The following is a 25,728-nucleotide window of genomic DNA, read 5'->3' as shown; positions in this document are numbered from 1 at the left end:
ATTTTTGAATTTTTGGAGGTGTAGCTTCAGGATAAGTTCCCAGAAGCAGGATTGCTGGGTCAAAGGGTGAATGCATGGGTATTGTTGTTAAATTGCAGGTAATTGTTCTTCTTAGGGTCGGAGACTCCCTATGAGACTGCAAGTGACTAGTATTTATTGTGAGGATAATTTAACAAGTGATTAAAAACACTGGAATATTAGTACTCAAGAAAATAGGGTGTGACGTCAGCGAAGGCAAGAGGCGTAAACTCAAAGAGTTGGGAAGAGCAGGAATAGTAGCATGAATTGGTGTTGTAAAGATGGTTTTGCTGCTGGATTTGCATGTAAGGTTGACCTAAGTCTTTTTGCCACATAGGCTGATGATGATCCACCCCTGTGTGCCATCATTTTCTGTGGCTAGGTTCTTTTCTGTCTGTCTGCTTCTGCTCAGATTCCCTCTGGGCTCCTTTGCTCAGTAAGGCATACCTCTGTTTCTCCTGCCCCTCCTTGCTCCTGATTTCAGCCTGCTATTCAATCTCTGACAGATCCCGGCTGCTCTCCTCCAACATCCTCCCTTCTATTTCATGACCCTATGGTGTCTACACCCACTACTAGCTGGTGATTCCAGCCACAGTTTCTAATTCAGATTCTGAAAAGTAAAAGTCTGAGTGTCCCAGATCTTCCCTTTGGAACAACACTTTGTAGGCTTCAGGTAGATGATCACTTGCAGTTCAGACTGCTTCCCTGGGTGTCATGTGTCTACCCAGGATGAGTCCTACAGAAGGAGTGTGGGTGGAACTAGAGGTATGACAGGTTAACATGATTGATATGTAAATTTTAGGCAATTTACCAGAAGTGGGAGGATGGCCACTTCTCAATGGCTACGCTGGTTCAGCTGCAGGTTCCTGATTTTTCACATCATGTTCCCAGGATCGTATACTTAGCGCCCTGCAGATGACTGTGTGCTGATTTTCAAACCACAAAGAGGAAAACAAACTAGAAAAACCTCTTTATCACCACTTATTTTATACACAAAGGGGGGTAATTATTAAAGGAACTAAGGAAATTGGCACAAAGTAACTGTTTTTAAAGATGACCCTAACCCAAGCCCATCATTTTGATCTAACCTCAAATATCACTTCATCAAAAAAAAAAAACCTTTTCTATTCCATTCGTGCATTCATGCCTTCACTAATTTTGCCACTAATTGAATAATTTATTTAATCGTGTATTGCTTCTCAGTCTCTTTCTACCCTTTCCCCACCAGAATGTGAACCCCATGAATTTTCTGACCACTGCTCTGTCTGGTACCCCAGCACATAGTAAGAGGTCTATGCTAACAGTGGGGTTGCATGAAGTGTGTCATCCTGGGGGACACATTTCACTCTCCCTGCCTTGTGCAAGTGTCTTCTCGTCATGGAAAAAGAAAACTGATATTGCTCTCAGCAATTACCCAACCTGCTCCAGAAACAACAGTGTTTCCTAAGCACTCTTTTTCCTTCAAAATACTCTTTTGGAAAGGAGTAATTTAGTGAGGAAGAAATGAGCATGCTACATCAATTGATCATGATGCTGCAATAACCCTGAAATTTTTGTGCGTTCCAAGCGGATACTCTATGTAAAGTTTCCATCCTATGTGGTGTAATCAATAACTGCCTAACAGGAAGGATGCTGGCAGGAGCAGAGATAACTCCGCCTGCACAAACCCATCTTGGACATATGCAGGAAAGCTATAATCAGGGCCGCGCACATAAATTATTTGAAATTCAATGAAAAAGCTGAAAGTGCATGTAATTAAAAGTGAGCAAAGCAGATAAAGTCAATTATACACTTAGAGGAACATTGTTTTATGCAGTGGGCATGGTAGTCATCAAAATCAACAGCCCGTGGGGCCTGTACAGAGAGCTGACGACGCTCTGCTCAGAATGAAGGAATCCAGTGCCCTAAATCAGAGCAGCCTTTTCAGAGCCATATAATCTCACATAAAGGAAAAGTACAAAGGCTGAAAAGGAGGAGGGCCCTGCTTGGTGCGATCTCGAAATAAAACCAGGTTCTAATAGCAAAGGGCTTGCAACACAGATAAAAAAAGGAAGAAAGAGTGCTTTCTAAAATAAACCCTAGAACCAGAGCAAATAAGAAAAGGTATGTATGCCCTTAGCTCACCATAGCCTGTTTCCATCAAACATTTTAATTTCCATGGGGCAGGATATATATCTACCAAGAAGATACACATTTATTTTTCCTCCCTGAGATTACAAAAACCTCAGGTTTCAAGCTTAAAGAAGGGGCTTTGTAAAACTAGTTAATCCAGTCAAATTGAGTTAATGGCTACAAAGAGATTGATGGAATGGACAATTTACTGTTCAATAATGAGTTGTCAATATGGGGCAAAGAGCTGCTTTGATCAGCTGGGCAGTCAAATCACAGCCACAGTTCAGGGCTCGATTGATTCCTCAGCAATTAATGGTTATGATAGTAAAAAGAGAAGAAGACAGATCTGACTGGAAATTGGTCTCCTCTGTGCTGAGTGGAGAGGCTGACAGCAGGGCATTGTGCACCTTGAAGCTCATTTGCACCTGGAATAATGAAGAGTCATAGAATCCCCTGCAATTGAGATTTTCTGGCAATTGCAACCTTAATTTGATTATGCGTCTATACTAGGACGAACTGGAAACCAGAATGAACCAGTCACATACAATTTAAACTACAAGACTATTTATACAGGTTTCCCCCTATACTTCAACATGAGTTTTGGATCATACATCCAATTCTTGTCACAAATGTAAACAGGCTGATACATTTAACTATGTAAACATTGTAAGCTTTTATGTTGAAGAAAAACCCCTAAAAATTTAGAAAAATAAATGAGGGGGGAAACTGTGATACTTGGAAATTAACAAAGTTAATATCCTTAAAATATGAAGATTGCTTACTAGTCAGTGAGGAAAGATTCCATAGAGAATTGACAAAGCCAAACAAGAATTTCATAAAACAGAAAATATATGTGGTCAGTAAAATGTGAAAAAAAGATTAACCTCACCAATCATAAAAGGAATGCAAAGGAAAAGCAACTGTTAGCAAAACTTAAAATAGCTGATGAAAGTACATTGGGAGACAGGTCTGATGGGGTTCAGGACACGCAATCTCAAAATATCACACCTTGTGCTTTGAGGAAGTGGTAGAAGCAGGAAGGTCACTCTCATCTTCTCTGTGCCCTTCTCGCTTGAAGCCAGTTATAAAAGAATTCCCTGAACTTCCTATAAGGTAGGTCATAAGACCCTCATTCCAAACATATTATCCCTATGCTCAAAGAAAAGAAATCCCTTATATATGAAGATACAGGGACACAGAGAAGAATCTGAACACACAGACCTTGGTAAGTCCCCCCAGTTTATTACCATCACATCACACCCCCTTTGACCAATCATACTTCTACATAACTGTCCATTCTTCATCAAATTTACCTTACAAATATACAGATTTCTTCATTTCTTTGGGTCTTCATTTCCAAAGGCTCTCATGTCACCTAAAATTTATATTAAATATATTTGTATGCTTTTCTTCTGTTATTTTATTTATTTTATTTTTTTTGAGACAAAGTGTCACTCTGTCACCCAGGTTGGAGTGCAGTGGCACAATCTCAGCTCACTGCAACCTCCGCCTGCTGGGTTCAAGCAATTCTCCTGCCTCAGCCTCCCGAGTAACTGGGACTACAGGTGTGCGCCACCATGCCCTGCTAATGAGGTTTCACCATGCTGGCCAGGCTGGTCTCAAATTCCTGACCTCGTGATCTGCCTGCCTCAGCCTCTTAAAATGCTGGGATTACAGGTGTGAGCCACCTCTCCTGGCCCTGCTATTCTATCTTTTATTATAGGTGCCTCAGCTATGAACCTCGCAATGGGTGAAGAAAGGATACTACTTTTTCTCCCCTGCAGGTTCTCTGTTCAATATTAGTGGCAATGTAAATTGATATATATATCATTTGTGGAAAATAATTCATAAAATACTTACAGAATACATCAAAATATAAAATATTAATGCCCTCTTATTCAGCAATTGCACGTCTAGAGATTTAGATTGAGAAATAACTATTTAAGTGTGAAAATATATATGTACACGGATAAGTGACACTGTAATATTAATAAGATTGAAAAAAACAAAAATAACCCAAATCAACCAGCACTTAAGGACTGATGAAGAAAAAGTTGGTATAGAAATATAATGGGCCGGGTGTGGTGGCTCACACCTGTAATCCCAGCATTTTGGGAGGCTGAGGTGGGCGGATCTCCTGAGGTCAGGAATTCGAGACCAGCCTGGCCAATATGGTGAAACCCCGTCTCTACTAAAAATACAAAAATTAGCCAGGCTTGGTGGCACGTGCCTGTAATCCTAGCTACTCAGGAGGCCAAGGCAGGAGAATCGCTTGAACCCGGGAGATGGAGGTTGCAGTGAGCCAAGATCACCCCACTGTACTCCAGCCTGAGATCCGTCTCAAACAGAGTGAGATCCGTCTCAAAAATAACAAACAAACAGAAATAAATATAATGGAATCCTATATGGTCAATCCATTGTCATCCAAGATATCCACAATACATGGTAGAATGAATAAAACACAGTTTAAAATGTGCGAGTATAGAATGATCATGTTAATATACCCAGATGAGTTTTAAAGAAGCTATGCTTCTCTGGAATGTAAGTTCCAAAGACAGGGCTTTGTGCTCTTCACTGCTGAGTCCTTGAGGCCTAAGACAGTGCCTGGTACTTTGTAACCATGCAATCATGTTTGTTGAATGACTAAATGAAAGAATTTTAGAAAGTTTTTTACCAAAAGTTTAGCAGTGGTGGAGAGCTATTTAATAGTATTTTTTTTTTACTCTTCATATTTTCTCTATCATTTGAGTTGTCTTCAAAATGCTTGTTTCATTTTTATAGAAACAAATAATAGATTTAAATTATGTGATGATGCCTACTGCCTGTGAGATGTGGCAGTCTCACCTGTTTCAGCAGCTGTGTAAACTGGTTCAGCTCTTTTGGAAAACCATTTAACATTAAATATCCCCAAGTCACAAAATCCTTCTTCCCTTTGTCCGTTATTCCTTCATGGGATTTTATGCTAAGGAAAAAGATGCAAAACATGAAGTGATCTAGACATCCAAAGTCTTCATCCAAGTTTTTATATTAGGTAAGTAAAAACTCTGGTCAACCTAAAGACACCTCTAACAGAGGGAAGAGTGAAAGTAAATTATGGTAAATCCATTAGATGGAATTTAGGCCAGGCATGGTGGCCCACACCTGTAATCCCAGCACTTTGGACGACTGAGGCGGGGGAATCACTTGAGGTCAGAAGGTCAAGACCAGCCTGGCCAACATGGTGAAACCCCGTCTCTACTAAAAATACAAAAATTAGCCCGGCATGGTGGTGCAGGCCTGTAATCCCAGCTACTTGGGAGGCTGAGGCAGGAGAATCGATTGAAGCTGGGAGGCAGAGGTTGCAGTGAGCCAAGATTGTGCCACTGCACTCCAGCCTGGGTGACAGGGCAAGACTCCGTTTCAAAAAAAAAAGGAATTTAATGTAAAGATTACCACCTCTGAAGATCTGTAGCAATGTGAACAAAAGGAAGCTGAAAATGCAGGCATGTAATGATTTAATTTATGTGTAAACAAAACGATGATGCTGTTGTACTATGACGTAGAATCCTGGGTGCAGTTTTTTTTTCTTCTTAAAACCGCAGAAAGAATGTGGATTTTAGAGTTCTAGATAGGGGTTTTCATTTAGGCCTTGCGACATGGCTGTTACATGACCTTGGTTGGTCTGTTTCCCTAACCTCTTTGTGCCTCATTTGTCTTACCTACTAAATAGGCTAATAGTACTACCTCGCAGCATGAAGATGATTTTAATAAGATGAATGAGAGTAACGACTCGACAAACTATGGTGATTGTTTTTATTAATGCTGTTATTACATTTTCAGTTTTCAAAAAATTTTAAGCTCCCATCAGTTACAAACGGAAAGTAAAATAGCTAAAAAGGGAGTGAGAAAGAGATTCAAGAAATTGGGCTTTTGAGTTGGGCTGCACCCACTCTGGGACTCCGCAGGGGGCCTTGAGGGTGGAAAAGCCCCCGTGACCACACAGGGGCGCAGGCGCCCAGGCCGGGTGAGGCGTTCCCGGAGGTGTCCAGCAGAGGACGCTGCCGGCGGAGACGGGACCGGAAGCCGGGCCGCAGGCGGCCGGGCGTATTCGCCGACTCCTCCCGCTTCCGCTGCCGCAGCCGGTCGTAACCAAGTTGTGTCCTGTCAGCCGCTGTCCCCTTCGCCGCGATGCCGCTGGAGAACCTGGAGGAGGAGGGTCTGCCCAAGAACCCCGACTTGCGTATCGCGCAGCTGCGCTTCCTGCTCAGCCTGCCCGAGCACCGCGGAGACGCTGCCGTGCGCGACGAGCTGATGGCGGCCGTCCGCGATAACAGTGAGGCCCGCACGAGCGCCGAGTCAGCGGCCTAGGCCTGGGCCGTCCCCGCGTTCCGGAGCCTGCGGGGACTTTTTTTGATGGAGCTCCAGACCCCTCTGACGGGGTCTCAGAGACCAGGCCTGGCTTCTCCGGCCCTTAGGGTTTTGCTTTGGTTTGGGGATACCCTGGGGGACCTCGACTTGCCTCAGCGGGGTCTGCATCTCTCTGTGCCGCCTTCCCCTGTAAGGGCAGCTTGGGGGAGAATCGTGAGGCATTAATATTTACCCCTGTGCTAGGCACAGAGTAAAGGCCCCGTGACTTTCTGTCAGTGGGGACTGCTCCCGGGCGCGGGGTATTCCTGTGGGAGAGTTCAGCTTGCCTGTGGAAGGGAAATTTGGGTTCGGTTCTTTCTGGCCCTTCTGTAGTGAATGTGTATGTTTGAACATATGTATGTGAGTATGTGTGTATAAAAAGTCTTTCCCTGTTTGAAGACTTTTGGAACAGAATCCGGCAAGAGCAAACCGAGGATTGCCCTCCCTCCAGCCCTAGTAGAGGTTGGCATTGCCAGGATTGGCCGTCACGCAAACCTCCCACCAGCATACGTTTATGTTTTGCCAAGCCGATTATTAAGCGCCATCGCATGCCTTCCTGTTAGTGGGGAAGAGACTGGTGGATGACTTGTGGCGGGGCGGGGGGTGAAATACGTGGGCAGACTTTGACTTGAGGGCACAAGTGTCCCCACTCACACATCCCTCTTTTTGCATGTTAGACATGGCTCCTTACTATGAAGCCTTGTGCAAATCCCTCGACTGGCAGATAGACGTGGACCTACTCAATAAAATGAAGAAGGCAAATGAAGATGAGTTGAAGCGTTTGGATGAGGAGCTGGAAGATGCAGAGAAGAATCTAGGAGAGAGCGAAATTCGCGATGCAATGATGGCAAAGGCCGAGTACCTCTGCCGGATAGGTGACAAAGTGAGTAGAGATGGTTTTCCCTCTCTGTAGTTAGTATAGGCTAAAATTGGAGACTATTCCAGGTAATCGTTTCTCATTAAAAAAATTAACTTCGTTTTAGAAAAAGTATAAAGGTAATCATGCTTGCTTGTACTGGTGAATCAATGTAAAGATGAAAAAGTCGTCTCCATGAAATGCCTTGTCATTTCCCCAAACAGCAGCTAGGGCTGTATTCTTCCCCATTTCACCCCATGCCGATAAAAACGTAAGTGTACATCTAGAGAATTTTATTTACTGCTTTTACAAAATTGGGATCATTTTCAGCAGTTTTCTCACTTGGTTGGGAAGCACTGGTTCTGGTGTCTTTAGTACTTTACACGAGTAATACTTAGCAGAAACTAAGAAACAGTATAGTAAATGCTGAAGTTCTGTTATCTTTCTTTACTCTGTACCTGCCCAGGGATAGGCTTTTCAGTTCTTTTATTGTGCATTTATGCAAACTTTTTGGTAATTTTTTTTTTTTTTTTGAGACGGAGTTTCACTCTTGCCACCCAGGCTGGAGTACAATGGAGTGATCTTGGCTCACTGCAACCTCCACCTGCTGGGTTCAATCGATTCTCCTCCCTCAGCCTCCCGAGTAGTTGAGATTACAGGCGTGCGCCACCACACCCAGCTAATTTTTTTGTATTATTAGTAGAGACTGGATTTCAACATGTTGGCCAGGCTAGTCTCGAACTCCTGACCTCAGGTGATCCACCTGTCTCGGCCTCCGAAAGTGCTGGGATTATAGGCGTGAGCCAGTGCACCCGGTCATAAAATCTTTTTTACGTAAAATTTTATATGTAAAAGAATATAAATGCTCAATGAAAGAACCAATTTTTAAAAAAGTTAATACTTGCAGAAATTTTTAATTCTACAGAATTTTTTTTTTAAGTACATAGGATCATAGTGTATTAGTGTAGTCCTGTTTGCCCTTTTCATTCAGCATTATATTTAAGAGGTCTTTTCCATGCCAACATACATAAATCTGGCTCATCCTGGTTAACTGCTGCCTAATGTTCCACTGTAGAGCTAGCTCTGGCATAGTTTATTTGCCTGTTCAGCTGTTGTTGGACATATGTGTTGTTTTCATCTGTTTTTGCTTTAGCAAACTGCTGCTGTAAAAATATGCTTATGTATGTCTCTGTGTGTATATGCTAGTGTTTCTCTAGGGTATAGTATATGAAACAAAATCGCCGGGACAATGAACAGTTTTTTTTTTTCTTCTTTTTTTTAAATATGTGTGGCCAGTTGTTCTGCATAGCAGCCAGCTTACTCCACCATCAGGGCACCAGAGGGGTACTCACCATTACTGGATCTTTGAAATTTAATTGAGTAACTGTGTAATAGTGGTTAAGAAAATGGGCTTTGAATGTTTTTAATTTTAAATTATTTGCCTGGAAGTATTTAGGTATAGAATGACATGGTGCCAATATAAAAAATAAAAATAACATGAGCTCTTGAATCAGATTGTCTGGGTTCTGTTTTCAACCTCGGTAATTATGATTTATGAAACCCTCGGTTTCCTCATGTGTAAAACAGGAGTACTGATAGTTTTTACTTAATGTGGATTAAGGATAGGAAAAAGCTTAGACTGGTACCTAGCACATAGTAAGTGCCTAAATGTTGTTTTGCAATGTATATCTAAAACGAGGTTTTTTTCTCTTTTCTGGTTGTAAACTTAAGACGTGGTCATTGTAAAAATTTGGAAAATACAGAAAAGTTTAGAATTATCTAGTGGTTTCCATTTACTTTTAAGCTGTATGTTTGTGGCTTGGTTTTAAAGACTAATATATTACATATGAATGAGAAACTTGAAACTTTTGATTCAGGTTTTGAAGAATTTCAACAAGGACATGCTTGAATCAGTATCAGGAAGTTGTAAAATGTTCTAATATTATATTTCCTCTGTATTTATTAAATACTCTTCCAAAACGAACAACTTTTCCCCTCCTATTTACTCTCGTTTTTTATATTTTATTTTATTTAGTATTACTAAATACTTAATGGACTTAGTGGGCTTTTATTATTCACTGTTACCACTGATGAGAGTCTTATTCTTTATGGTGCTAAGTTTGTTGCAAATTTGTTAGCAGAGGCTCCGTCAAGACACTTTGTCCTTTTGACATATCTCATTAGTCTTATTTTCTGATAAAACAAAATGTCACAGGTTCACCTGTTATTTTCACTCTAATAAACGTAGAATTATCTATTTCTCCTAGGATCCCTGGTTCCTTTTAGTGGGGGATAGTATTTAAAAACCAAGATCTTAGTGCTAGGTGTATCCATTGCTGTATTCCCAGTCCCTTATAAATTTGTGAAATATAACTAATAATTACATAAACCAGGCAGACACATACTGAAAACTACCAAGTGTGAACAAATTATTTTATTCATATTCAAAGCAAAGGAAACATTCCACAGTGCTTTGAGAGAAAATTATATATTTACAAATTTAGTCATATTCTAATAGCGACTAAGATACAATTTCCAAAACCCTTCAGATGATGTTATTTTGATGTAGTGTATTGTGATTATGAGAGAAAACATTGAATATATAGAACAGAGAAAAATACTTAACAATTGTGAATATATTTTTCTTAAATTGTTTTCCTGAATCTAAGTATATGCTTGGGCATTTCTTATGTATTTTTTAAACTTTATACAGGTAGAGAAAGTAGAATAATAAACCCTTGTGTACTTATCACCCAGCTTCAACAATTAACAGTTAATGGCCATCTTGTTGTACTTCTACTCCTACCTCTTCCCTCAACCTTTGAAGAAAATCCCAGACAGCTGATAGCTTTTTTTGGAAACTTGTAGCCTTTTCTCACCTATTGCCTTGGCTTTCTTGACAGGAGGGAGCTCTGACAGCCTTTCGCAAGACATATGACAAAACTGTGGCCCTGGGTCACCGATTGGATATTGTATTCTATCTCCTTAGGATTGGCTTATTTTATATGGATAATGATCTCATCACACGAAACACAGAAAAGGCCAAAAGGTACTTTCTAAGGGTGGGATTATATTTTCTCTAAATTATGATGCTACAAATGAGAAGCTGATATAAGAAACTGCCTGTTTTGTTTACAGCTAGTAAGTTTGGTCAAATAATTGATGTACTTATTTAGTAAAATAATTTAAATATCTCCTTTCGGTTCAAGTTGTTAAAAGTTGTTTTCTCATTTCAAATAACAGACAAGTTTTTAAAACGTGGCCTTGTCTGTTTCCAGACTATGATCTTACTGTTTTTATTTCATAGCTTAATAGAAGAAGGAGGAGACTGGGACAGGAGAAACCGCCTAAAAGTGTATCAGGGTCTTTATTGTGTGGCTATTCGTGATTTCAAACAGGCAGCTGAACTCTTCCTTGACACTGTTTCAACATTTACATCCTATGAACTCATGGATTATAAAACATTTGTGACTTATACTGTCTATGTCAGTATGATTGCCTTAGAAAGACCAGATCTCAGGGAAAAGGTAATGACCAAACTTTAATACTCAAATTTAAAGACTTGTTTTTTTTGTTTAAATACACAAATCATTAAAATGTACATTTTTTTTGTATATATGTTTTTTAAAATACCTAGGTCATTAAAGGAGCAGAGATTCTTGAAGTGTTGCACAGTCTTCCAGCAGTTCGGCAGTATCTGTTTTCACTCTATGAATGCCGTTACTCTGTTTTCTTCCAATCATTAGGTAAGGATAGGGTTGATATTTTTGATTATCTGTCTTCATCTTACTCCTGATCCTATGTGCAAATAACCTAAGACGATTTTTCACCTATCTGAGAAATGTAGTGTGTAGGTAGCTGCATGTCTTTGATCAGTATTCCTAATGTGCCCAGTTTTGTTTAGAAGAAGGGTCATCAGATTGTGGCCTGCTGTATGGCCCAGGAGGTAAGAATGATTTTTACATTTTTAAAGTGTTGTTTAAAAAAGGAGGATGTGACGGAGAGCTATGTAGCTTGCAAAGCCTAAAAATACTTACCCTCTGGCCCTTTGCTGAGGGTATTTGCCAGACCCCTGGTTAAGAGTCTTAATGGGGTATAAGGCAAAAGTGAGCAAATGGTTATTAAGTATTGAGCTTCATGGGGACAGAAGTGAGGGAATTCTGAATGTGATTTGGGGTGGAGATTAATTGAACCTTGAATTCAGCAATGGGCTATTCTGTATCAATAGCTAAATAGCTAAATCTCTGTGCTGATTTGCAAATCATTTTCAAGGGCTATGGGTTAAGAAAATAATCTCTTGAACGTAATTGTATTCCTTCAAAGCTAGTTTGTAGTGATCCTGCCTTCACACATTTGCTTGTTTCTCCCTCTTGTCCCCATTCTTTCCTGGCTATTTGGTTTCCTAATAATGACCACAAACTATTAAGATGATAGAAGAATCAGCTTGCATCAAGTTGACCCAGGGGTCTTTCCCAAAACTTAAAATTTGACATTGATATATTTTGTTTATGCTGCAAATTTCAGAAGGTGTTTGGTTAAATAGATAGCTTTGGAGAAAAGTGGGAATGGACGGTTCCAAATGACGATTGTTAATGTTTTTGCAGTGGGTTTTGGCCCAGTGTTTTTGGATGCTTTCTCCATGCATATAAATTGGGCTGCTTTATGAGAATTCATAGTATTTACCTCAGGTAATGTAGGAACAGGTTTCCCGAGCATGATGAGTAACTCACTTGGCCTTATCTTCTCATACATACACACACAGTTATGTTGCTTTTGCATATAAGGTTATATTGTAGAATTGCTCTTTTCCCTTTTTTATGCTTGAGGTCTCCTGGTCATCACTCAACTCAAATATGGAGCCCTTCCCTGCTTCCCTCAGTCAGAACAAATCTTACTTCTCTGCATTCCTGGGATTCTTATTGTATGCTCCCTCCTTCAAAAAAATTGAGGGAGCCCTTCCTTGCTTCCCTCAGTCAGAACAAATCTCTTACTTCTCTGCATTCCTGGGGTTATTGTATGCCCCCTCCTTTAAAAAAACTGAGGTATAAATCACACACCATAAAATTACCTCAAGTGTACAATTCAGTGCTTTTTCATATATTGGCAAGGTTTTGCAAATATTAATAATTCCAGAACATCTTGATCACCCCAAAAGGAAACCGACACCCATTAGCAGTCACTCCCTATTACTCCTTTCCCCCAGCCCCTGGCAACCACTGATCTACTTTATGTCTGTACGAATTTGCCTATTCTGGACATATCATCTAAATGCAGTCATAAAATACGTGGCTTTTTGTGCCTGGCTTCTTTCACTTTATAATGTTCCCACATTCATCCATGTTGTAGCATGTATCAGTATTTCATTTTGTTTTATAGCCAAATGATAGTCTGTTGTATGTATATACTACATTTTATTTATCCATTCATTAGTTCATAGATTTTTGTGTTGATTGCACTTTTTGGCTACTATCAATAATGCTATAATGAAGATTTGTGTACAGCTTTTTCTGTGGACATATGGAGTGGAATGGCTGCATCTTAATGGCAACCCTCTGATAAACTTTTTGAGGAACTGCCAGTTTTCTAAAGCAGGCGCCCGCACCATTTGACATTCCCATCAGCTGTGTGAGGGTTCCAGTGTTCCCACATCCAGTACTTACTATTTTCTGTCTTTTTGATTATAGGTATCTTTGTGGGTGTGAAATGATATCTCATTGTAATTTTGATTTGTTTCTAATGACTAGTTTCATTGAGCATCTTTTCATATACTTAACTGGCCATGTGCCCCAATTGCTAAAACTTAGCACTCTGTTTTGTGATAATTTCCTAGTTTGCCTCCTTTGCTAACTAGAATTTCTGGGAGCAGAACTTATGCTTTTTTTTTTTTAATCTTCATGACCCTGACAGCAGGACAGCACTTGGTACTAATGTGCTCTAAAATAATTCAATTGGAAAAGGAAGTAGTATCCTTTTCTAGGTAGTACCTGACTATATTTAGAAATCAAAAATAAATTGAGAAAGTGAAAGGTTTTGTATCTCACCTCACCCCCAAATCCATACACACATTCACTCACATATAAAATTTTTCCTGAGACGGTGATTTTAATATTGTTTTATATCCTTGTAGACCTTTTATTTATTTATTTATTTATTTATTTGAGACAGAGTCTCACTCTGTCGCCCAGGCTGGAGTGCAGTGACATGACCTTGGCTCATTGCAAGCTCCGCCTCCCGGGTTCATGCCGTTCTCCTGCCTCAGCCTCCTGAGCAGCTGGGATTACAGGCGCCCGCCACCATGCCCGGCTAATTTTTTGTATTTTTAGTAGAGACAGGGTTTCACTGTGTTAGCCAGGATCGTCTTGATCTCCTGACCTCACGATCCGCCCGCCTCAGCCTCTCAAAGTGCAGGATTATAGACGTGAGCCACCGCGCCCGGCCTTTTACTCGTTTATTATATGCACTTTAAAAAAGAAAAAACATTTAAAAACCGAAGTTATATGTACACATGGAACAGTTGTAAACAGTATCATATAAAGAAGAAAAAGGCTTTCTTTAATATCTGATCACCAGTGTCCTTTCTCTAGAGGCAACTGCTGTTAATCAGGTTTTCCAGTGTGTCCTTCAGGGGCACTGTTATCCAGAGATAAGAGCATGTAACACTTTTGTGTATTGTGGATGTATTTTATATGCTGTTTTGTAAGTACCTTTTTTTCTCTTCACAAGTAACGTGTATATCTTTTCATGTCACTATACATATAGTTGGTCATTTAGTCAGTAAGTGTTTTTGAGTGGCTATCGTGTACTAACATTGAGAATAGCAGCAAATTGAACAGGTAGTGTTCCTAGGAGCTTCAGGTTATCCTTTCTTAAGGACTTCCTAGTATTTCAATGTATTGGCTATGCCATAATTTATCCTCTACTGATAGAAAACGAGGTCGTTTCCAGTTTTGCCCTATTATAAGCAACCCTGTTTTGAACACTCCAACAATTTATCTTTCCCACTTGTTATTTCCTTGGGGAAAAAGTCTAAAAAATTGAACTTTCCAAAGGTTAAATATATTGTGTCTTGACCACTGTTGCCCTCCAGAGATATGTCAGTTTACATTTACACAATTTATACTTCTCTCAATCTATAGCATTTGAGAGAACCTGTCCCACCCTCTCCATACTCTTTGCCAGTCTGAGAGGACAGAAATAATTTTATTGATGTTTTATGCATTTCTCTTATTAGTGAGAATACGCACCATCTCATGGTTAGTGGCCATTGATCTCCATGTTGCTAAATCATGTGTTCCCTTGCTTATCTTTATCTGCCTTGATGTTGACCATCCTTTGCTTCTCACCACAGCTTTCTCTTGGTTCTGCAGTAACGTGCTCTTGTTTTCTCTGGACCTACCTCCTCATCCACTGTTAGACCTCTCAGTGTCTGACTGCCTTAGACTGGGTTATTGCCCTTGTTTCTTATCTTCACTTTGTGCCATCAGATACATTTGGATGGCAGTGATGGACAAATTCATGTCGCCAGCCCCAAACTGGAGCACCAGACTCATGCCTCAATGCCTCCTTAGTGTCCTCACTTGGCTGTTTAATAGGCATATCCACTTGAACACTGCCAAAGTATGCTTGAATCCCACCCTCACCCCCAACACTAAAAACAAATATTCTCCTTCTCCAGGGATTTCCATCTTGTTGAAACCACAAACATAAGTATACTCTAGAGTCTCTTTTCTTGCTCACCTTCTATATACCTGTTGCTGTCTTCCTGCTTGCATTCTGAGTCTGGCATCCTTTCTGTTCCTGGGCTTAACCATGCTTTTCCTGCCTTCAGACTTTTGTATCATTTACATTGCTCTGTGCTTAGCCAGCCCCTGAGAGAGGTATTCCCTGTCCACCCCAATCCAGTGGAGGGCTTCCTAGTCACTCTATCATGTTACTTTTATTTTCTTCACAGGATTTATCTTGTATATTTGTTCATCTGTCTCTGCCCTTTGAAAATTTAGTTTTTGTGGCAGCAAGGGTCTTGTCTTCTGGTTCACTGCCATATAACTATCTAGAGTAGTGATATACAGGAGTTATTCAGTAAAATAATTTATATTTGTGTGGATTGCTCATTAATACTCTACGTACATTTTACTGTCTTCTAAGGATCTCTTCTGGATTAAGGCCATTAACTCATCGTTATAAATTTTCTAGTTTATCATTTGTCTTCAAACCTTGTTCATAGTGTTTTCTTACGTAGACTATTTACGTGAACAAATAAACAGGCAATAGGAGTCATCAGTCTTTGCTTTCTTCTGAGTTTTGTTGCTTTTTGAAAATGTCTGATTTATACCTTTTTTCTGGTCTGTATAAATCGTTTTTCACTGTACCTGCTGTTTCTCTGTTAGAATTGTTTAAAAAATGATTTTTACTTTATTTTACTTAAGGCATAAGAAGTTCTCCGTGGTTAAAATATTAGTACGTGAACTTTGTCATCTATGAACAAGTTCCTTTAGAAGCTGAGCTCTGATAGTGATGTCAAATAGCCACCTGTTACTTGAAGACGATGTTTGCATACCTGGCCCCTCCTTTATCACTGCTGTTGCTGCCATTGTTGATGACATGATGTGGAAGGGCAGTGAGAAATTTGATACTTGTTCATCTATCTGTTGGACTCAACTAGTAGTGTTGCTTTAGTTTTTAATCTTTTTATCTGAAACGGAGAGTCTATTATAATTTGTCATTTTATTCATTGCAGCGGTTGTGGAACAGGAAATGAAAAAGGACTGGCTTTTTGCCCCTCATTATCGATACTATGTAAGAGAAATGAGAATTCATGCATACAGTCAGCTGCTGGAATCATATAGGTCATTAACCCTTGGCTATATGGCAGAAGCGTTTGGTGTTGGTGTGGAATTCATTGATCAGTAAGTTTGAATAATGCCATGTTAATTGAAGTTTTAAAGTTGCCTTTTAAAATATGTGAACTTGTACAATTTTTTACTTGTTTACATTGGTTCCCTCAATCTTAACGGGGAGGGGAGAGGTTTTTTTCCTCAGTATTATCAAAACATTCGTATCCTGTTGCCTCTGCCTTCCTCATGTCATGTCTGCCCCTTGCATTAACAGATGGGAAGATGAGTTGTAGTGAGGCTAAGTGATTTGTTAAAGGTCATTAGACCAGTTGTTATCAAAAGTTGTCTTCTGTTACTTCTTTGTAGACCACACTGCAGCTACGGTAATGACTCTTAGATCTGATATTTACAGTTGGTCATATTCCCTCTGATAATTCCTTCCAGTTTTTAGGTTGCTGCTGCAATTCTGGTCAGATTGGTTGTTAAATGTGGGACTTTTAGTACTTGCATCAGTGATTAAACAAATAAATACTTAATGAGCCATTCATTACTATATGTTTGGTATTGTTTTACAGCTCCCTTTTCACACTTTCATTGTAGTAGTAGGGAAGAGATGGCAAGGAAGCAAATAAATATAAAACGTAATTTCACATATAGAAATGAACCTATGGAGATGAGAAAATGCTATCCTTACGTACGGCATGCTTAAGGAGGTGAGGTTTGCTCTGAGATTTGAATTGAGAGGAGTCAGCCATATGGAGTCCTTCTGCGTGCAGAAAAGGGAATAGAAAAGGCTAAGGCTTTGAGCCAGGAATAAGCTTGGATGTTGTAGGAACAGAAAATGTCAGGGTGGCTCCAGCATAGTTGGAGTGGTAGGAGATTTTGAGGATAATATATGGAGAGTTAGGTAGGTAATGATTTGTGTAGGGCCTTGTAGGTCATGGGATGGAGCTTGAGTTTTAAGTAAGTTTGATAGGGAGCCATTGGAAGATTTAGAGCCCAAGTTACATGGTCCTATGCAGTGTCTTTATATAAGAAATAGAGTAAGGTGGCAGAGAGGACCAGTTGTGCTGTTTAGTAGCTCTTAGAGGAGATGTTACCGTGGCGTGGACGAGGGTGGTGAGAGTAGAGTTGGGTAGGAGACATACTCAATATGGGATGTCCAGATGGCATCTAGATCAGTGGCTCCCACATGTAGGTGTTTTTAAATGTTGATGATGGTGTTTTCAATGGTCTGCAGTGGAAACTTTAAATGAAGATGCATTTCTTTTAAATAAGACCATTCTCTTTCTAGTATTTTTTAAATTTCGAACATCCATAAAATTGTAAAGAAAGAATTGTACAGTACATTTTAACATATTTGCTTGTTACAATCTATACATTTTATGTTTTTTAACCACTTCAAAGTAAGTTTCAGACACCAACACATTTTTTAAATGATCCCTACCATTTTTTAAATGATCCCTACCAAAATGGAAGGCTGGTATCCCAAGGTTTTGTTCCATTTCTCAATTCTAGTCTGTGAAATTGAAGTCTGATGACCACTCTTAAGAGGGCTGTTCATTAGGGTGCGGGCTGGGCATTATGAGTGTGTTTTTCATGAGTCAGTGGAAGGAGGGGCTTGTTGTGAGCAGTGCATGAGAAAAACGGCTTGGCTTTGCTTCTTTTTCCAGCTCTGTGGCCTTGGTCAGGTTACGTCTCTTCAGTATCGTAACTGTAATGTGGAGATAAAGCCTTCATTAGTTAGGGGCACACACCGCAGTATTCCTTAAGTCATCTTGATGACAAGTGAATGCAAGGCAGCTGGTACCTTTCAGGTAGTAGTTGAATTCAGGTAGTATTTGTTCAGTTTTTTTTTTTTCCCTTCATGTTCTAAGACCAGCTTGAGAGGCAAAGGTTGTACCACTGAGCTCTAGTTGTTGTTACCTAAAAAGGCCTTGTTTTAAATTTCTGTGATACCTAAGAATTTCAAATCTGGGTTGTCATGGATTCTTTATTCTTTTTTTCTCCCTTAAAAAGTTACATTTTAGATGAAATCCCCTTTTTTAAAATGGGCAAAGCAATAATTCTACATCATTTCTCCCCTTCCCTTCCACTTGTTTAGACTAAGATATGTTAGAGAGGGAAAGGGTCGTTGTTTTAGTAAATACTATTGCTGTTGACATGTTAATACTATTGCTGTTGACATGTTTACTGATGGGCTGTGTTCCATAATTTTGTTTTAGGTCTTTTGTTTGAAACAGTTTACTGTTTTTATCAGTTTTGGTCCCTAATTTTTCCTAACCTACAGTTTTTCTCTGAGTACATATGGTTTCATTGTTTGATCTACTTTCTATCTATCTGAATATGAACTTCTAGGATCATGTTTATTCTAGTAGATGATGACTTAAAGCCTGCAGTATAGGAGGGACAACGTCAACTACTGCATGTGCAATAACAAGCTTGAAGGGAAGCTAAATGTTTGTTACAAATTTAAGACAGTATTTTAATGCCGTTTGCATTTTTCTAAGAATTTTCTATAAAGCTAATTCTGTTATTTTTTGTCTCTAAATTAGGGAACTGTCCAGGTTTATTGCTGCCGGGAGACTACACTGCAAAATAGATAAAGTGAATGAAATAGTAGAAACCAACAGGTACTCTCATTTCTCAGAATAAGGGGCATTCCTAAATTTTAAAAGTAGGTCAACTATTGTCATGGAATAATGTGACTGGTAAATAATTCATTTTTTCTTGAATTTATTTATAGACCTGATAGCAAGAACTGGCAGTACCAAGAAACTATCAAGAAAGGAGATCTGCTACTAAACAGAGTTCAAAAACTTTCCAGAGTAATTAATATGTAAAGCCATGTAACTAACAAAGGATTTGCTTTAGAGATAATTATTTGGAATTTTTATAGCTTACTTCACAATGTGCCCAGGTCAGCTGTATAAAATAAATACTGCATTGTTGTTTCTTTCCATTTATTTTTTTCTTAAACACATAGGCCTTCTAGAATCGGGTCCACTTATGTTAAAATAATGTCACTTGAATTATTCATTAATGAAAATCTGGTTTATAGGGTAAGGTTGCAGCTGGGTTCAGCTAGGTTCAGCTCCTGACTGCCTCATCAGTAAAATACGTCAGTAAAATACGGATGTTGACACAGCCCATTATCGCTTACCTTTAAATCTCTTACCTGTAAGCTTCCCGATTTTAGAAAGAAGAGTAGTGGCCTAAAATTAAACAAACAGTGTCTCCCACTTTTAGTATACAAAAGATAGAAGATAAAGAAAATGTGTAATAAGCTTTCCCTCAGAAACAAGTAACCATATAAGGCAGGAAGTTACTCTTTTTTAGGAAGCTGACATAACCTGGATTACAGAATCTACCAAGGCTGATCTCAGTTTTCTAAAACCTTATATGTAAGTATTTATTAGCAAACTGAATCTTTTTTCCAAAAGTAGGACCATAGTAATAATAGCAGTGAGGAAAACAAAGTTGTTCCTCTGTTTGTTTGAAACAGTTTATTAGTTTTATCAGTTTTATTCAGTGTGTCAGATAGGAATAAGTGCTATAAGAAGTATAAAACCAGATAGACAGACAGATAGATAGATAGATAGATAGAGATACAGGGTATAGGCCGTCTTCTGAGGTGTTGTGGAAGGCTTCTATGGTAAGGTGACATTTAAGTGAAAAGGAGGGAGAGCCCATGAACGTATGGAGGGAAGAAAGACGAGGAAAGTCACTGGCAATTTTAAGTGCGGATTTGGCTTACCTTTTACGTCTCACTTACGGCATTCGGTGGCATGGATTGTACAGGCAGCTGGATTTGCTAAAAGATTGAAGAATGGGGTGAGGAGGATGAGGGGGAGAAAATTTGTCAGAGGAGATCCTAGGCTTTTTGGCTTAAGTGAAAGACAGCTAGTGACCTTAATGAGCAGTTTTGGTAGAGGTGAGTTCAGAAGAGAATGGGAAATGGCATTTTACTGTAAAAGGCAAGGGAAGGAAAGAAGAGTTTTGAGTTTTTTTGCTTTAAATAACATTTACTGATGGGAATGATTCCTGTTAACATATTAGGAATAACATATTCCTAATATGGAATTCCTAACAGGAATAACATACTCCTGTTAACATGATCTCATTTGATTGAAAATAATTTGATATAATTCAACATTTCTTCATGATAAAAAAACTCTTCAGTAGACTATGAATAATAGGTTGGGATATCAAAGCCCTATCACAAGGTAATTAATGGCAAAATATTAGAAGCATTATCTTAAAAGTGAAGACAGCAGCTCTCATCGCTGGAAGAAGAGCCATTGGTTGTATGCCAAGGAAAGCAATGTGGCTAGATCTCTGTTTTGAAAGGAGTTTCCTGTAGGCACTGTATTGTGGAGGGGAGGCTTTTAAAATGCTGACTATGCCTAATGTATTTGAGAATATCCACCTATGAATTTCTAAAAATGCTTATCTAGAAAACATTTCTTAAAGGAAAAAAACCTCAGCTTTTTGGTTTTCTACAGAAAACCAAAGCTAGTCAGGAATGCAAAGGTGGCTTCTGAATGCTACAGAGTTGCAGTTGTTCACCCACAGGCGGCAATTGACACACCCTAAATACTTTTCCAAGAAAAAAATTTATAGTTACCACGTAAAAGTTGACAGTTTAAAAACCACATATCTAGCTTCTCTGGAAAAAGGACAGGTGAAGCTAAATCTGGACTCACGCTCCAATAAGCTGAGCGACAAGCATAGCGTGTTTTCCAGTGTGCCCCAGTCCACCCAGTCTGTTCATATACACTGCCTGTCTGCCTGGCCCCTGCTGGCATTTGAGCTTGTTATCCCTGCACTACCCCCAATATTGTGCATGTGAGGTTGATGGTTAACAGCCTCCTGTGTTAATCAACTAAGACAGGGGTGTCCCATCTTTTGGCTTCCCTGGGCCACACTGGAAGAATTGTCTTGGGTGACACAAAATACGCTAAGGATAGCTGATGAGCTCAAAACAAAACAGCTCATAATGTTTTAAGAAAACTTACAAATGTGTGTTGGGCCACATTCAAAGCTGTTGTGGGCTCTGGGTTGGACAAGCTTGAGCTAGGAGAAACTATCCAAAGAATTCCTAACCTTTATCCTGTCTCTAGTAGCTTTAACTGGTACAGCTTGTTTTCTGAAAGTCTTAATTTTCTGCTTTTATTCAAGAAGGTTACTTCACAATATGAAAATAAGATTATGAAATGATGCTAAAACAGTTATACATAGTTCCTTTTTCATGTTGGTAAATGTTTTCTTTTGAAGTGGGAAACAATCTTATTTTTAACCCTGGTTTCAGTCAAAAGTAACTATCCTAGTGTGAAATGATATCGCCAGGATAAACTATCTTTTGTGATTATTTTTAAAGCAGAAATGCCAGTTTCTCTTACCTCAGTAAAAGTTGATTTTATAGCAAATCTATCGAGTAAGAGCTAAATATTTTAAAGCTATGTCAAATTATGGTAATCTATTTCCTGTATTAGAAATAACAGCTTTAGGTCAATTTTTAAGCTATTAAAAAACAGTGTCTCTTAGGACAGAAACAGTGTAAAAACCACTTTTGTTAAGCACCCAACTTTTACCTGCCCCAGATGGCTAGAAGGATGCCTACAACTTGATCACTAAGCATGCAATACTCAATACACTTAGGATTTTGTGACTGAACACATTTGGTCTTTTATAACCTGACCAAACATTAACTGATAAAAGGCTACTAAATCATTAGCAAATCATTTCTGTAATTTCATATTCTGAATTAGTCCTTGGTGCTGCTGTTAACCTAATGTTTTTAAGATGAACAGCTGACAGCTGAAATATCTGCCCCCATGATTATGGGGGAAAAAGCGTGGAGGGAACTATGATAATCCCTGACCTTCCCAATGCTACATAAACTTGTAGTTGCTGGTAACAAACCTGTGCCTCCACAATGGCAATGGGGGAGTGGGGTAAAATCCCCATCTGGATAACATGAAAAGCTCTGATAATCACTAGTTTTGGTTTCAAAGCTGTAGAGCCACAGATTTGCATTATGCTTGTGTTTCTGAAGGAATACAAAGGCTATCAGGAATTTGTAGCAATCTGATCCAGGCCATTTTAACCTTGACATACATGGTCAAAGGGTATAACCTTTTTTTTTTTTTTTTTTTTTTCCCCATTTAAAAATATCTTACAGTGGCATAACTTTCCCTGTACAAATTGGGTTTAAGAAACAAAAGGGACAATTTGCTAATCAATGATGAGCCTTTAATCCAACCATTATATATCCCCTTTCCATCCTTAGATCCCTTGAAGAGACCATTTAGTTAAGACTACCAACAGGTGACACCCTGACCTCCTTACCAACCTTGCCTTTTAGAGGTGACCAGAGACCTGTGCTTTTCCAAAGTACTGTTATACGTGTAATTAGTATAATATCAATGTGGGGAAACTCTACCTTTGGATTTTGAGGACTCTGCTTTTCTTGAAACCCTCTGGGTTAGAGACTGTTTATTCATATGCACCTCAGGAACTTGAGGCCAAGATGAAGTTCACTGTTTCCTAGTCCTTTGCTTGTTCTCCTGGCCATTATGTTTCCACCTTCATTCAAAATGCCTTCTCTTTGAAGCTGCTTATAACCCAGCAACACCATCAACTCACTGTGCTCACTGTCCTCAATCACACATCTCCAAGTCACTCTCCCCTCTTCCATGCAAATCATCCCAGAACCAAGCAACCCTAATTTGAAATGGACAACCTATACAACACCCTTGGCTTCACAGTTCCTCAGCCTGAATTCCAGTGCTCTTTTCCTCCATGCTGCTTCTGTCCACTGCCATGGTTTCCACCCAGGAATCACAAGCACCTCTGGCCAGTTCTGCTTTTGAAAATAATACTGGAATTCCAATTCCTCTGGCCAGTTCTGCTTTTGAAAGTAATACTGGAATTCCAATTCCTCCATTCCCTGTCCTATTCCTAAAAGTGCTGTATCACTTTGATAACTCTGGCCCCTGGATCTCACCTTGTAGCCCCTCACTTTTATTGGCCATGTGGAATTAAATGTGGACTTTGCTCTGTGACCCTGAACAAATCAATTGTCTAATCATAGAAAAAGTTACCTGGAAGGAGATTCCTAAGACCTAACAAGAAGATAATTCCAGTCAAACCAATGTCTTAAGAGCACCTGCATAGATTCTACATGGTTGGCTTCTAGTTCTCTTCCCTGAATACCCAGTTCAGACCATCATCAATCACTCAGCCACATCTTCACTCTTTGGCAATCTCCCTGCTCAAGTTCTATCTTTTCCACCCAACCAATACATGCTGTTCCAATTATCCTGGAGAAAACAGCAGGGCAATAAAACGTTAACTAAATAGGTAGATAGCATTGGTAATTATAATGGGATTGACTCAAAACATCTAACCCTGTAAACCATCTCAATGCCTTCCCTTACCTCTCTTTTTACTCTACTGCTCCTTCTCCATTTGTCTTCATGAAAATAGTCTTCTCCAAGGTTTTGTCCTGGGTTTTCTCTCTGGGCCATGGAGGATGGGCTTCAGGTTTGTGATATCCTGGAAGCGGAATATAAAAATGTGGTGTGCCTGTGCCTCGGTCAGACAGGATGCATAACTTCATGTGACTCCTGGAGTCTGAGGAGGGAAAAAATTAAGAATCACTGTTCTGACAGACCTGAATTACCCTGGATCTGCCACCTATTCGTTGTGGGACCTTAAGCAAGATACCTTCTTAGGAGTTCCAATCAGTATGATTGGAATCAAAATACCTGCCCTATGAGGGCTTAGTAAAAGAGAGGATGTATATAAAATGCTTGGCACAGTATCTGGCATATTAAGTACTTCACTAGAGAAGTATTATTTTAACATAATAATAAGCCAAATCGAATAGCTACTTAATTTTCCCAGGTAAACTCCATCTACCCTTATGACCTCACTGATGATCTAAAACTGAAAGACAACTCTCCATCTTTATTTTCCAGCTCAAACCTCCCTCCTAAAGTCCAACCAGCCTGTACAGCCAGCTGGGCACTAAACCAGAATTTCCCACCAGCAGCTCAAATCTATCGTTATGTCTTTTTCCTTCTCTGTTACCATATCGCACATTTCACTTAAAGCTCAATTGGTTTGGCCAAGCTAGAAACCTGAAGTCTTCTTAGACTCACTCTTCCCTTTAATGTTGAACAGAGTTAGACCTCAAGGCTTGTTGGTTCTACTTTTTAAAGATTTCTGAAATCAGTATCACTTATCCTCACAGTCAGCCTTCGTTTGGAAACTTAATAGCTCTTACCTGGATTACAACAGCTTTGTAACTTATTTTTGTCCCAAGGTTCTCACCTGTTGATTCTGTCTTCCATTGTTATTGGAGGGCCATAGGTGGCAGAGATGTTTTTTCCACAAAGTATTAAATTATAAGTGATTCTCCCCTTCCCCCTGGAGACTTTTTCTTTGGCTGATAGCCTCACTCTCCCTTACCTCCTAAGAGATATTCTGGTCCATGGTCTTTGGATGTAGAAAATGAGGATAACAAGTGCCAAGAATTACAGCCTTACAAGGTGAAATACTACTTTAATTAACTTCCATTAACAACAGGAGCAAGAACTTCTTACAGAAAGAGGAGACTAAGAAAGGAGTGAGAAGGGAGAGGAACTTAAGAGTTGATTTAGGGGAGTGCTTTTTGTTAGGACTGGGGACAGGGGCAGGTAAAGACAGATCTTTGAAGCAAAAGAGAGTGAGAATGCAAGACATGGGGAAAGAGACTTAAGTGCTCCTTTGCTTTTCCACAGTTTTCAGTACAGATTTGAATGGCTTTGACTTTTGGCAGCTGCACAGTGCTAGGACTGGACCATGAAATATCTCTGGGCTCTGACAATTACATTTGGGTTAATCTAAGCCTGATCCCATGTGTTCCTGGAAGAGAAGCCCCATGACATTCAAAGTCCTTGACAATCTGACACCAGCTTTTCTAACCCTATAAGGCCCTTCCATCCAGCAAACTTCCTGCAGAATTATTCTCTATCCCTCACATGTTCATACCCATGCTCGACGCATTTGCTCTCTCTGCCTAGAATCTTACTCTTGTCTGCCTTTCTGCCTGGTTAAATCCCACATACGCCAAGATCCAACACTGCTAAACCCCTTTCCTTGAGTTGGGATCATCTTGTTATGCAGGGCCGGGATACCTGCAAGGGAATGGAATTAAAAAGGTTAAGAGATTGAGCAGTTGAACCTTTTCTTGGGAGGTTTGAGGACAAGCCATAGTGAAAGGATTTACCTACAGAGAGCACCTCATTATTAGATTTGTGGAAAGTACTGAGTGGATGGTTGACTCAAGTAAGGAGGGAATGGGAAGTCCACAGGGCAGTAGGAACTGAAGCCAACATGACTCTTTCATATCAGGTATGGACATTCTTGCTAACACACAGCGGTTCCTCCTCTTATTTTAAGCAACAAAAATAATTTATCAGAATGGTTTATTTGCAAACAGTAAAAATGTCTGGATTTCTAGAGGTAAATGAT

The 25,728-nt window shown here is 39.5% G+C and overlaps 1 protein-coding gene and 3 long non-coding RNA genes across 10 annotated transcripts, besides 5 other annotated features; 1 reads left to right on the top strand and 3 right to left on the bottom strand.

Annotated features, from left to right (window-relative positions):
* Positions 1-3,356: 3,356 nt before the first annotated feature.
* On the bottom strand, positions 3,357-5,642 carry LOC105377121 (uncharacterized). Its single transcript, XR_940906.3, has 3 exons — positions 5,566-5,642; positions 4,975-5,092; positions 3,357-3,505 (listed from the first exon to the last, which is right to left on the bottom strand). It is a non-coding gene; the product is annotated as an uncharacterized LOC105377121 (long non-coding RNA).
* Positions 5,677-6,298: an enhancer, noted in NCBI's record as "H3K27ac-H3K4me1 hESC enhancer chr3:64009095-64009716 (GRCh37/hg19 assembly coordinates)". NCBI's record gives its function as "activates a minimal SCP1, AML or CMV promoter by ChIP-STARR-seq in naive H9 embryonic stem cells {active_cell/tissue: H9 hESC(naive)}" and the evidence as "EXISTENCE:reporter gene assay evidence [ECO:0000049][PMID:30033119]".
* Positions 5,710-19,166, top strand: PSMD6 (proteasome 26S subunit, non-ATPase 6). 7 transcript variants are annotated; one of them, NM_001271779.2, is made up of 9 exons: positions 6,223-6,442; positions 6,916-7,074; positions 7,194-7,399; positions 10,276-10,421; positions 10,680-10,899; positions 11,010-11,118; positions 16,110-16,278; positions 18,762-18,839; positions 18,953-19,166. In NM_001271779.2, exons 1-9 carry the CDS (start codon positions 6,298-6,300, stop codon positions 19,047-19,049), a joined length of 1,329 nt encoding a protein of 442 aa, NP_001258708.1. In that variant the 5' UTR covers positions 6,223-6,297; the 3' UTR covers positions 19,050-19,166. The 7 variants fall into 7 exon arrangements, with proteins under 7 accessions (NP_001258709.1, NP_001258708.1, NP_001258710.1 ...); XM_017007569.1 differs by lacking the exon at positions 6,223-6,442 and adding an exon at positions 6,592-6,666; NM_001271780.2 differs by lacking the exons at positions 6,223-6,442; positions 6,916-7,074 and adding an exon at positions 5,710-5,912.
* Positions 6,015-6,114: a silencer, noted in NCBI's record as "silent region_14502". NCBI's record gives its function as "represses an Ori minimal core promoter by ATAC-STARR-seq in GM12878 lymphoblastoid cells {active_cell/tissue: GM12878}" and the evidence as "EXISTENCE:reporter gene assay evidence [ECO:0000049][PMID:35858748]".
* Positions 6,265-6,614: an enhancer, noted in NCBI's record as "active region_20036". NCBI's record gives its function as "activates an Ori minimal core promoter by ATAC-STARR-seq in GM12878 lymphoblastoid cells {active_cell/tissue: GM12878}" and the evidence as "EXISTENCE:reporter gene assay evidence [ECO:0000049][PMID:35858748]".
* Positions 6,265-6,921: a biological region, named in NCBI's record as "H3K27ac-H3K4me1 hESC enhancer GRCh37_chr3:64008472-64009094".
* Positions 6,299-6,921: an enhancer, noted in NCBI's record as "H3K27ac-H3K4me1 hESC enhancer chr3:64008472-64009094 (GRCh37/hg19 assembly coordinates)". NCBI's record gives its function as "activates a minimal SCP1, AML or CMV promoter by ChIP-STARR-seq in naive H9 embryonic stem cells {active_cell/tissue: H9 hESC(naive)}" and the evidence as "EXISTENCE:reporter gene assay evidence [ECO:0000049][PMID:30033119]".
* PSMD6-AS1 (PSMD6 antisense RNA 1) lies at positions 13,455-17,753 on the bottom strand. Its single transcript, NR_189168.1, has 2 exons — positions 17,675-17,753; positions 13,455-13,832 (listed from the first exon to the last, which is right to left on the bottom strand). It is a non-coding gene; the product is annotated as a PSMD6 antisense RNA 1 (long non-coding RNA).
* Positions 17,474-25,695, bottom strand: PSMD6-AS2 (PSMD6 antisense RNA 2). The gene is made up of 3 exons (NR_038286.1): positions 23,649-25,695; positions 19,964-20,020; positions 17,474-17,920 (listed from the first exon to the last, which is right to left on the bottom strand). It is a non-coding gene; the product is annotated as a PSMD6 antisense RNA 2 (long non-coding RNA).

The sequence above is a fragment of the Homo sapiens genome, chromosome 3 (genome assembly GCF_000001405.40).
Source record: "Homo sapiens chromosome 3, GRCh38.p14 Primary Assembly".
NCBI lineage: Eukaryota > Metazoa > Chordata > Mammalia > Primates > Hominidae > Homo > Homo sapiens.
Note: the sequence above shows the minus strand (reverse complement) of the source record. Positions and strands in the feature narration are given on the sequence as shown.

Excerpts from the sequence above, each read along its gene's own strand:
- PSMD6 (NM_001271779.2), top strand. The coding sequence starts at position 6,298 with ATGCCGCTGGAGAACCTGGAGGAGGAGGGTCTGCCCAAGAACCCCGAC. Across the intron at positions 7,400-10,275 it reads TCTGCCGGATAGGTGACAAA|GAGGGAGCTCTGACAGCCTT; the intron begins GTGAGTAGAGAT and ends CTTTCTTGACAG. Across the intron at positions 10,422-10,679 it reads AACACAGAAAAGGCCAAAAG|CTTAATAGAAGAAGGAGGAG; the intron begins GTACTTTCTAAG and ends TTTATTTCATAG.